We start from the raw sequence: 12,477 nt of genomic DNA on the forward strand, positions 1-12,477 counted from the left end.
TCTCTCTGCTATTTGTGACTCAGTTTAGTTTTTCATTTATTATGGAGATGATTTAAGAGACTTGAGACCCCCCACAAAAAAACCTGTATTTTTTCACACTTTAAAATGGAAAACATAGAGATAAATGTAAGGTAATCATCCACATATGTTAATTACAGTTTTTAAACAGAATTTGAAAAGAAGCGATTACCCATTTGACATTATTATGCCTGATCTAGTATTGGTAAAATTTTAATAAATTTAAATAATTGTTTTCAGTGTGGAAAAAGGCTAACTCTTGAACACTTAGTATCTGTGGGTGCCTAGAAAAGGGATTATAGTATTTTCCACCATCCAAAGTAAATTTATTATGAGAATTTTACAAAATATATCTATGCAAAACAATGCCATGTTGAGGTAAGGAGGGCCACAGGTATAGGATTGTTCAAATGCTGAAAGATAGTTTTTCTTCCCAAAAAAACTGGAAACAAATGTATTAATGGCCTATGGTGCCTACTGAGAAAGCTTTTAAACAGTTTCACTTTCAAATAAATTTTGGACGTTGAGGAAGCAGGTAGGAGATGTGGTCAGAGTTATAAAATAAAGCGGTGGTCAGCAGAGATTTTGGAAGCAGAAAACAGGGACAGGTACTCGAACAACTACAGATGAACATCTTTCAACTATAAAGTCCTTAAAATAACTGGGTCTGAAGCTACTATAATTTATTTGTTTTCTAAAATATCTTCAAGAATGTAAACAGTGAACCTTCAAGTATGAAGAGGCCATAAAACTCTTCTGGGCACTAATGAGGGTGAACATGGCATGTGCCAAGGGTGACCCAGGTTGACTGTTAGAGGCACAGATTTAAGTGGCCTCCTAAACTATTTTCTAAGGACTTTCCAATCCAATGTGCTCCTGTAGCCAGAGTAACTAATGAAATACTGTGTGTTGAAGATGAACTTCTAGTTGTTTTAATATGCCACACAAAAGGGATTTATCATTGGAAAAATGATCCGTCATGAATCCTTAATGAAGCTGGATAGAGTTGAGGAGCAACCCTCATCTTTTAGGAACAATCATGCCCTCTGGAACACACTCCTTACTGCAATTCTAAGAGGCAGATTACCAAGCAGTCCACAAATTAGATAAATTAGACATTTCCAACATACTTAATTTATATTAACCACCACATTATCAACTTTGAAATTTTAGACAGTCCCCAGTGGATATCCAGATTTATTTACAAGCAAACAATCCCCTCTCCCCTTTTAAAATAACCATTTAGTTTATGGGCCTCTTCTGACAATCACCTGTTCATTCATAACAACCAAAACCCATCACTAAAATGGGCAACCTCAATTCGCTTCCCATATAAAACATCAACTACATTATCAAATCTTTAGGGTAAAGGCAAGAAGGTAATGAGAGATGCACTTCTGTCATATGGTGTCAGGGATATTGTGGCCTATGTATAATTTATTTGTGTGAGAAAGAAAAAGTAGGAAAAAGCTATGTTTGAATCTTAATTACTTTCTTTTTTTCTTTGAGATGGAGTCTCACTCTGTTGCCCAGGCTGGGGCTGGAGTACAGTGACACGATCTCGGCTCACTGCAACTCCCGCCTCCTGGGTTCAAGTGATTCTCCTGCCTCAGCGTCCTGAGTAGCTGGGATTACAGGCGCCCACCACCATGCCCGGCTAGTTTTTGTATTCTCAGTAGAGATGGGTTTTCAGCATGTTGGCCAGGCTGGTCTCGAACTCCTGACCTCAGGCGATCCACCCGCCTCAGCCTCCCAAAGTGCTGGGATTACAGGCGTGAGCCACCATGCACAGCCATCTTAATTACTTTCAGAGATGGTTAATAACCTCACTAAAACAATATTCTCATGCACATACTCAAATCCATGAAAATAAAGGTATCAGTGATGTCTGCATTTCCTTACCTTCTATAGCTGATAGGAGAACCCGGGAATGATCATATGCGATTACATTCGCGTATCTATTCTTTGGTTTGTTTACTTCCAAGTTTGAATGTTCCCAAGTGAACTGCTGGCCAGGGTCAATTGACTTTAAAAGGAAAACAACACATATACACAAAATCAATACTGAAAACCACCAGATTATAGGCATTTATCACATGTAATAAACATGATTTAAAAGGAAAATTCTGAAGCCATACTTCATCAAGATGATCCTAACTGTGAAGCTGAACACTAATGTAACCAGCATAACAAAAAATGGTTAATCACTGCAGAAACAGTGATAGTCACCAACATTGATTCAAATGAAAAAAGAAATCAATACAGATGTTCTGTTAATATTGGAAAGGCAGGTTCTTAATTTTACTTTTCCATTTCCCTCTCTGCTGCTGTAGTTTACAAGTCATCTTGGTTCAATATTCCTTCCGGTTCTGTAAACCTTATTTTATATTGATTATTCTTCCCTATTCTTTCCTATCTGGACCTAAGCTGAGTCTTTAAGTTAACTGGTCTTTCACTGGCTTCAATGGACACAGGCTTTACTGTTCATTCTTTATCTACATGTTCACAACTTAATGGCAACTTAAGGTTTTGTCTGTTTCTCTGTAACACACTAAGACCAATATTACAAGGCAAATTGTACAATTTAAATAGTTAACACGAACAGTAAAGAAGGGAGGTCAGTTAATTTAATACTCAGATGAATAAGATACAACCCAATGCATATAAATTGTTTTTCTATTTATCATTATATATTTTCTATTTATTATTATGTGTTATTATGTTTATAGTTTGCTTTTTATTCTTGATTTTAACATTAGTTTTTTTTTCTGATTTTATCCCTTTCTTTGATGGTACATTTCAACCAAATTATTCAACAATCTAAAATAAACATCAAACAGGTATATAAAGTATGTAATTTAAAAATATTTAAGTAGAATCATCATTTCAAGACCAAATTCAGGTTTGATCATAAAACTCTAGGGGACTTCATTTCCTGAAACGTTATGGAAATCAAAATACTTTTTCTTTCATCATAGGCTACTGATAACATTTAAGATTTATAATTTCATTGTTATATGGAAACACAAGTTCATTAATGACACAAACATGATTTTAAACGATCAAAATCAAGTTTTCAAGAATGATAAAACAGGTTTATACCCAGGTAATTTTTTTAAAATATACTCTATTATGTTAACATAATTTTTAGCAGTTATTTTTGATGCCGGGTATTTTTCATGCCTTTATGTGTATATGTAGAAGTTGGGAGTAAAACATACCCCCAACAGCATCAAAATACTAAAGATGTGCACACTTTCTGTCAAAAGGCACAGAATTTATCACAACAGTAAAACTCACAAGTGTCAAAAGTCAAGTCTGTTAGTAGTCTTGAATAGCCTCCAAGCATTCTAAAATTCTCAGCAGTACAGATTCCAGCCTCTAATTTACTAAGGATTATTAAACTGTTTTCCTTTCTTAGCCTGTGTTAATCTATATACAAAATAGTCAATCAATGAGCAGTATTCAGGAAAATATTAATAATTATCCATACCTTAGAGTCTGAAAACTAATATAATTAAGGGACTTTCTAGTTTGCTCTTCCAGGGAAATTTTTCATCTCCCTTGCAGAAATTAATTATCTCCAAGCATGCTATGAGCCGAAGGTATTGAAGCATTCAGATGTCCTGGTGGAAGCCTTCAAGTCAACCTTGAACCATGTCCACACAGAACAGCTCCACTCAGTGATGAGGGCCTGCCTTAAAAATCTCTCAAATTTGCAATCTCATTGCTACTTCCTACATCCGGAACATTGGTATCTGTTGTCTGATTGAAATCCCTTCTCTAATCTCTTATTCCAATCCACTCTTCATACTGCTGCCAAAGTTGTCTTTCTAAAGCATAGCTCTGGACAGGTTGGCTGCCTGTTTAATAACTTCCACTGGCTCTGTGTGACCTACAGCCTAAATTCTAAATTCCTACCTATGCAGCTTTCGTCATCTTTGCATCTACACTACACCTGGCTCAGTAAATGGTCCAACAGATGTTATTTAAGCAAATGAACAGAATTGATGAATAAATGTTTTTGAGAAAAGTTCATAAAGAGAAATCATAGAGTAATTCCTCTATATAACATGAGAGTTAGAGAACAAATTATGGAAACTTCATTGTACAGTATACCACAATTATCATACTTAACACCCATTATCATATGGCTTAGTGATTAAGTATGTGATCATGGAATTATAACTACCACTGCTATTCCACTTTATACTGATGAACATTATTGGATACATAAGCTTCTTACACATCATTTAAACATCCCAAGAAGCTACTAAGCTCACTGGTATACGTACAGTGCTCCCTCTGATATCCTTGTTTTACTTAGACTAAGATCACCCACAGATGTATAAGATGGCATGCATTTACTTATAGCAATGAAATTGCATCTATTAACTGAAACAAACTGTTAACTCATGTCCATTTCCACTCTTGCCACATGTTTTCAGCCTTCTGTAGGACTTACTTGATACCTACATTGAAGACTTTAAAAACGAGTAACAGAAACATGAGTTGTGTGCCACCTATGTTAGATAATACGCTTAGGTTCAAAGTGTGGCCCATGAGATGAAGACCAACAAATAACAGGATAATTATAAAAATACGTGCTAGGTCATTATGCTTTATATGAAGAATTATGCTTGATTTTCACAATTGTTACAAGGTAGGTATTGTTTTTTTCCATTTGGCAGGTGAGAAAACTGAAGTAAAGAAAGATTAATTTAATTATTCTTACTGAGGGCCTACTTCGTGACAGGCTCTGTGCTACTTGGTACTTAAGTAATTTGGCTAAGCTCACACAGCTAGATTCATACAGTTACCCTCAAACCAGGTCTGTGTGATTCCAAAGCTCAACTGATAATTAACAGCTGGTAACGACTAAGCCATGATACTACTTAACTATCCAGAATGCCACTGCAAAAGGAAGAAGCCCAACTTAAGAAACACACCTACACATCACTATCCTTTATTTCACCAATCCAAATGATATTTCTTCCCAACTTATCAGCCTGTGTCATTCTGGGGCAATTACATAAGAAATCAAGTTTTAAAAATGAGGTTGGCTTCACATGGATGATAAAACAGATGGGATGCAGCTTACGTTTATACTCGTTTTACACGGATCAAACAAACATTGATTAAATAATGCTGACTTGTCTTTGTGCAACACAGCACTCATCCATCTGTATCTATCTGTCTGACTGAACGTTTAACAAAACACAACACGGGTCATTATTTTTGGAGCTTGTCAGAATGCTGACAGCAGTAAACTCAGTAAAGAATAACAACTGAAAGTTGGTGAGGTATACTAAGATCTTTCATATTTCAAAAAATACATAAAACTGGTTGAGGAAAATCAAATTTCAGTTATCCATATTACTAAGACAAAGAGATCATGAATGAGTAAGACCCTAATTGCTGGTGACAGACACAGTTGCTTTGCCTCTCTGTTCTCAGGCTTCTCTTGCTGCTGTCCTCTTAAGGAAGAGTGAGATGGCCAAAATGAAGAAAGAGCAATGTAGACCCTGAGGAATGTAAAAGTTGACTTTCACTTCAACCCTGTATTTTCGGTCAGTCCACCCTGACCATGCATCTTTTTTACTATAAAGCTAAGCTGAGGTTACCCAAATATTAATTATTCAAAACAATTTGAAATAAGCACCTTTGTTCTTAATGGACTCAATTCCTTCTTTTGGGTCTGCTGCTGTTAGTGTTTGGTTTTCCTGAGCTTGACTCCTAGATATGTCTACTCAACTCTGTCCACCCAAATAATCTTCCATGGGATACCCTTGCCTTCCCAGCACTCAATCTGAAGTTTTACCTTCCCAAGCTGAAATCCTGGCCAGGCTTTCTTCAGTCTCCGTTGTGGAGAATTTTGCAAGTTAGAAATAAAGCAAGCTAGATTTATTTAAGTAAAAGTTGATTAATACACTTTTATACATGATACGAAATACATAAATTATCACAGAATTCACAAAAATGCTACTTCGTCGTATTTTTTGTGTCTCCAGCCAATCAAAAAGCCTCTTGAAAGACAGATATTGGATGAACCCCATATAGCGTCTAAAGTTTTACCAAGATGCCGCACCATTTTACATTGCTTCCCTGCCTGCACACTGGGCACTTGACTCCTCCTCCCCACCGCAGCTTTTGACTAAACCTTTCTAACGCTAACAACAGATCTTCAACTCAAAGGCTTTGCTTACTCAGAAAAAATGACCCAATAGAAGAAAAAATCCTATTGTGAGTGATTTAAAGAACAACGGGAAAGTCTCAAGCAGATACTTGCTAATATAAAACACTTTGCATTTATTTAGTCTTTAACTTGATGGTCTGAAAGTTCTAATCCTTTTTATTTGATCAACTAGAAGTTTATCTCAAACTAGGTAACTGAAAAAATAAGCTATAGCAGATGGATTAGAGGTTTGCATTGTATTCTCGACAAAAACTCAGAATTAAAATATAAATATATCCAATAGTTGTAACTAATACTTAGATAACATTTACTATGTTTTCTTTGTGCTTTGTACATACTAACTCATTTATCTTCACAAAGACCCTAGAAGTAGTTGCCATTATGATTACAGTTATGTAGATGAGGAAACTGAGGTATAGATAAGACAAATAACTTTCTCAGGGTCAAACAGCTAGCAGGGAGAGAGGCCAGGCTGGGGGTCCACATATTCTGGCCCTGGAGGCTGAGGGCCCAGCCACCATAAGATGCTTTCTCTCTAGTTAAGCTGGAGAAGATTCCTTGAAGGTTTCACACTTGCCTTTCAACTATTCTCTTGAAACACAACGCACAGAAGGTTGGGAACAATCTGTGTAGTACTGCTGAACTCTATTTGTAATTCTAAACTCCAAACAAGAGAGTGATCATCAATTTGCACATCAGATTACAGTCACCAAGTAAAATTATATCCTGATATGGGAGTAACCTTTTTCAATAATGCTGAAGTCATTATCTTAAAGCAAAGTCCTTTAATCATTCTGCAAAATTCAACCTTTTTACCCAGAAGAAAAATATAATTCAAATGTGCAAAACACCATACAATACTAGTTGCTCTGTGTTTCACTTTCCCTCATCCCGCCAAGAGAAAAACCTCAAAATATTCCCTTTAGAAACTCATCAAAGAGAAACCACAAAAAAAGATCATCCTGTTTTTGTGTGTTTTTAAAACAACTAACAAAAATTTAATTATATAGAAGGAATAGACCAGTTACTTCACTCGTCAAACCATGGGTCAGACTAACCATTCTTTTTACAGGGAATTGAACTTTCAATGACCTTAACTTCCAAAGAAACAGTATCTTTTCACATATCTCCCCTTCAGTAGGCTCATTTGGTTCTTAGTGTGGTTGGCTCTGAGATATTCTCAAGTCCTTTCTGAGGTTTAGAAGAGCAATCTACCATTCACTGTGTATTCTGCAATTATGCCTTTTAAAATTCTCATTCATTGTCTCTCTCTTCTCTGTTTGAAAATGGTAAATTAATATATGCCCATTTGGAAAAGACCACGTTTGCATAGATGGGAAGGGCTATATTTTGCACAATTAGTAAAAGCCTGCAATTGGCATAATGAATACTTTCTTCAAAGAGAAGAGCATGAGTTCAGTTGAATCCTATGATGTTTTAGAAACTGAAATGTGAGGAAGGAGTGGAAAGTCCAGTGGTGAACAAAATCTGGAAGTCAGAGAACAGGGTGTTAGCTTTCTGGCTGCCCCTGGTTAGCTCTGGCCGGTCAGGTAACTTGGGTCTGTTTGCTCTGTGTTCCCTTTTCCTCTTAATGTCAACCTAGTGTCAGGTGTGTGTCCTCATTTTCTCTTATCTCTCTTTGTCCAATTAGTTATCAAATCTTACTGAGTCTCTCTCTGTAAGAGCACCTCTGATCCAGGCCAACATTAGAGTGTGAAGGATTGAAATAAAGATTTTTCAAGACTCTCAGTATTAACAAATGAATGGATGTGGGAGTGCCCCACCTTTAGTAGTAGAAAAGGCATAGAAAATGTATAAATATACCACACTCATTGAAGTCATCAAAAAGTGTTTCAGTCACATATTTTTGTACACAGTTAAAATTCTGGCTTCAGATAAGTGATAAAATGCATCAGCTTTACCTGTTGTCTAATGGTTGCATTTGAAATTTTGACTCTAACATACTATATAACAAATACGTATAGAAAATTACTTAAAGTAATAATATATATTATTAGAACTGACATGCAGGGAACAAAAAGGATAAACTATGCTCATAGTAAATCATTCATCCATGGCAAGTGAGTAAATATCTGAGGTAAACTTTTGATAAACAATTTATTCTAAATTATATCATAGTACTAAAGATGAATTAGTTTATTTCACTGAGGAAACCATTGATTCCCAGAAGTATATTAGAATTATCTTAATCTAACGTGGATTAAAAATGATGAAAAACAACAACAAAACCAAAAATACTTAATTCTTTTTTTTAACTCAGTAGGCCAACATGAGGTACTCTCTAGAATTCAGATAAAGTGTTTTACTATTTTAGTGTGTGACTGTAGAAAAGATTATTTTTGAGAGATCGTTCCAAATAAGAATCCAAAAAAGAACATACAACTTTAAGATTAAAGATTTAAATAACTAGATTTTTTACTATATACTTTTTTAAAATTTTTTATTTATCTTTTATTTTTATTTTTATTTTTTTTGTGGCAGGGTCATGCCTGTCCAGGCTGAAGTGCAATGGCGTGATCTTGGCTCACTGCAACCTCTGCCTCCCGGGTTCAAGCAATTCTCCTGCCTCAGCCTCCCAAGTAGCTGGGATTACAGGCATGTGTCACCATGCCTGGCTAACTTTTGTATTTTTAGTAGAGGCAGGGTTTCGCCATGTTGGCCAGGCTAGTCTCGAACTCATGACCTTAAGTGATCCACCTGCCTTGGCTTCCCAAAGTGTTGAGGTTACAGGCGTGAGTCACTACACCCAACACTATACATGGCTTTTTAATATGCCAAACATTTTCCTGAATATTACTAAATGCAGAAGAAAGACATTTCTAGTTTCCAAAGACAATGTGCTAGAGGAATAAGATCAGCGATATGTGTTAATCCTAATGTTTTCATTTTTAGCTATTTATCTCCTACATCAGATAAGGTGAATAATAAGAAAGAGATGGACAGATTTATAGGTGATGTTCTTTTTTTATTTCTTCACATCTTTGAATTCTATATAGTTGATGTTCTTAAGAATAGAATGTGTCATTGGAAATCACTTTACAAATACAATTCACAGATTAGAATTTCTGATGTTATTTGAAAAAGCAAAGAGTATTAAAGAATTTCCAGGCAGTTTGGGGCAAGCAAATGTATTAGAAAGTTATTAAACTGCTTTGTTTAAATAGACAATGTTGACTGAATTGGTAAAATGTAATTACGATGACTTATAAGAAGAAGTCACTTGATCTGCAAATCACTTATAAAGTATGATATTTAATAATTAAAGAGGATCCTGGTGAGGTGGCATGTGCCTGTAATCCCACCTACTCTACTCAGGATGCTGAGGCAGGAAGACTTCTTGAGCCCTGGAGTTTGAGTCCAGCCTGGGCAACACAGCAAGACCCAATCTCATTAAACAAAATATTAAAATAGGTTATGCACACCTAGAAACATTAAAGAGTATGGCAACATTAAAGAGAATATTATTGAGTATAGGTAACAGACAAAATTATCTAGCAAATACAATCAATGTGCAGCATTAAACACTAATTTACGGTGTTAGTAAATTAGTGTTTTAGTAAATTAGGAAGAATTAATTCACAGCTGCATCCTTTCTTTTCCATGGATAACAAGGTCCCAGTTTTTGCCACCAAATTAACTAGATGAATGCATTAATTCCTCACTGCTCTTTGAAAATGCTGACACATCTGTATAGATCCCAAAGTATTAAGCGAAAAGTACCTGATGCACAGTTATTACTAAAAGAATGCTAGATGTTTTGCCTTCTCTTGCCTCTACCCTGTGACTTGTATAAGAACATCCCTGATAGAAGACTATCTTAGCCTCCAAGGAATATCTGCATTCTCCTTGATGCTAACGGTGCCTTTTTTGATACTGAAGTATAAAACTGAGGCAACTGCTCAATTTAACAAATAAATCTATTTCTGCTCTCCTACTTACTATATAACATGCCCATCTATGTAATTTGCAAACTGATTTACTTTTCCGGCAGAGACAACAAAAAAGAGCACAGCTGCATATGGTTCTCACTTTTTGCATTTCATATAATAGAAACTTGACCACTCAGAAAACTCAGTACATAAGTAGATTCAAAAGAAAAAACAAATTATGAATGAATAGCTTGGTTTCACAATTGTTGTGCGACTGATATTACAACATCATTTAAGAAACACTATAAGGAAAATTGTTAAGATAAATCATCTTCATTTTTAAAAGTCGGATTAGTTGAGCTTAAGTGATAACAGTAATTCTTTTAATCAAATATGAAAATGTCTAGCCTAATTTTAAACATACGATTTTTCTTCCTATTATTTTTACTTTGCATCCTAAACATAGATGTATTTTAGGCTTTCATCATTGCTTTGCTTGTCATTTAACAGAAAGTTTCTTTATTAAGTCTTTGTTTCTTTTTCCATATTTAGTTTCAGATGCAGGTGGAGGGAACAGATGAATTTCTAAATTGAAACATAAATTAACTTTTGTTAATGTTCAGTCAATGCATTTCAAATCTCATTTTCTGATTCAGAAAGAGATAAAAATTCTACATCCAAAATGAAATAAGAAAGAGTAATGTTTTCTCCCAGTCTTTGTCGGAACTCAGAAAATCCCAAATAATCACTTAAAAAACTCTTGTACCCCATTTCATACCAAATGTATTTAGTACAACTATCTCACTAAAAAACATGACTATCCACATGTGCCTTTTGGGCACAGTATATATACCAACAACCCCTTGCCATTAATACCATTAGTGCTTGCAGGTAAGGTAGCAATACACCATACTAAATATAGGCTTCTAATCAAAGAAGTCACACAGGATGATCATTAATACTTATATCCATGGTGCTCAGGTGTCTTAGAAAGTATTTACAATCTAAAGTGTCAGTATATTTGTCTCTTACATGTGATAAAACTAGAAAGGCTAGAACAAATTAACACAATCTAGAATTTTAGAGTTTAGTATCTTTCTAAACTAAAAGATTACTCTCAAAGATTAGTATTTTTAAATGTATATTAGTTTTACATTGTAAAATTAGGGACTCTTCTAAGTTAAATATTAGAAAAAAAATCAGTACATTGATGATCTTATGTATTAGACCTCTGGAAAAAATGGAATCACTTGAGAACACTGCTATGGGGTTGTGATTTATCTGATGTTGTATATTTTGTATTTAGCATACAGTGAATTTTAAAATGTATTTGTGGAATGAATAGCTAAGATACATTACAGGTAGGATACACAGCAACAATTACTTTTACCCTAGTACCTTAGAACTAGTTAAATAAATTTCTCAGCCAAAGGTGTGATGATGAAACAAATATATATTGGAATAGACCAGAGATATAAAAAAAAAAATTTAAATAAACAGAATGGCTCCCAGCTCACAAGTGGCTACAACCCAATTCATAAAAGCCATCTTTGACTTTTTGTGCATCTGAAATTCATTCTAAGCTATCACCTGTGACAGCCTTTTGTACTGTGTTTTCCAATTTTTACATATGTACTTAATATTTGGAAGTAACACATAATGGCTACTTGCCAATGACAGTTCTGTATAAACTGTATTACCCAATTTTCTGCACAGCAGTATGGGTTTATACAATTAGTTGGCTATTTTAATACAATAGTTTTTTTCATTTTTTTGGTTTGTTTGAACAGTTGTGCTCCCCAAAGATCTCAAGGCCACTTATGTTGGGAGTTATAGGGAGAATGGAAGGAATGTGATCAGATGGAAGGATAAATATTCCAGAATGGAGCTCTACAATAGGCTGAGTTTGAGTTAGGTAGTCCCTACATCCCAGTTTACACCTACTGTCCCAGCGTAGTTATTAATAGGACCCTTTCTCACTCTCAAAGTATCCCAGTTTAGGCAAGAAATTACATGGCCACCCCAAGGTAGAGCTGGTTCTACCTAACTTCCTCATATTCACATCTATATCTAGGCAAGCTTCATGACAGTGTCATAACCATCAGTCAGGCATGTACATGTACGGGGAGGGAAGGCGTGCAGGGGAGCAGGAGAGAGGGAGGGAGGGAGGGAGAGAGGGATGGGGAGGGAGGGGGAGAGAGAGGGAGGGGGAGAGAGAGAGAGAGAGAGAGAGAGAGAGAGAGAGAGAGAGAGACAGACAGACAGGGGGCAGTCTCTGCTAAAAAGTAAGTACACTTACAAACTATCACATGGATAGGTGGGTGGGAAAAAGTAAAGAGAAATTTCTGCAGTGCAATACCTATCTCCAATTAT

General features: G+C 35.5%; 1 protein-coding gene across 55 annotated transcripts in view; it reads right to left on the bottom strand.

Annotated features, from left to right (window-relative positions):
* Positions 1-12,477, bottom strand: part of PTPRD (protein tyrosine phosphatase receptor type D) — a 2,298,757-nt gene that overhangs the window by 88,371 nt on the left and 2,197,909 nt on the right. For all 55 annotated transcript variants that reach the window (NM_002839.4, XM_017014961.3, XM_006716827.5 and 52 more), the window contains one exon: positions 1,921-2,044. In NM_002839.4, the coding sequence (NP_002830.1) occupies positions 1,921-2,044 (124 nt within the window). The remainder of the gene's footprint in view (positions 1-1,920; positions 2,045-12,477) is intronic.

This window comes from Homo sapiens, chromosome 9 (assembly GCF_000001405.40).
Source record: "Homo sapiens chromosome 9, GRCh38.p14 Primary Assembly".
Taxonomy (NCBI): domain Eukaryota; kingdom Metazoa; phylum Chordata; class Mammalia; order Primates; family Hominidae; genus Homo; species Homo sapiens.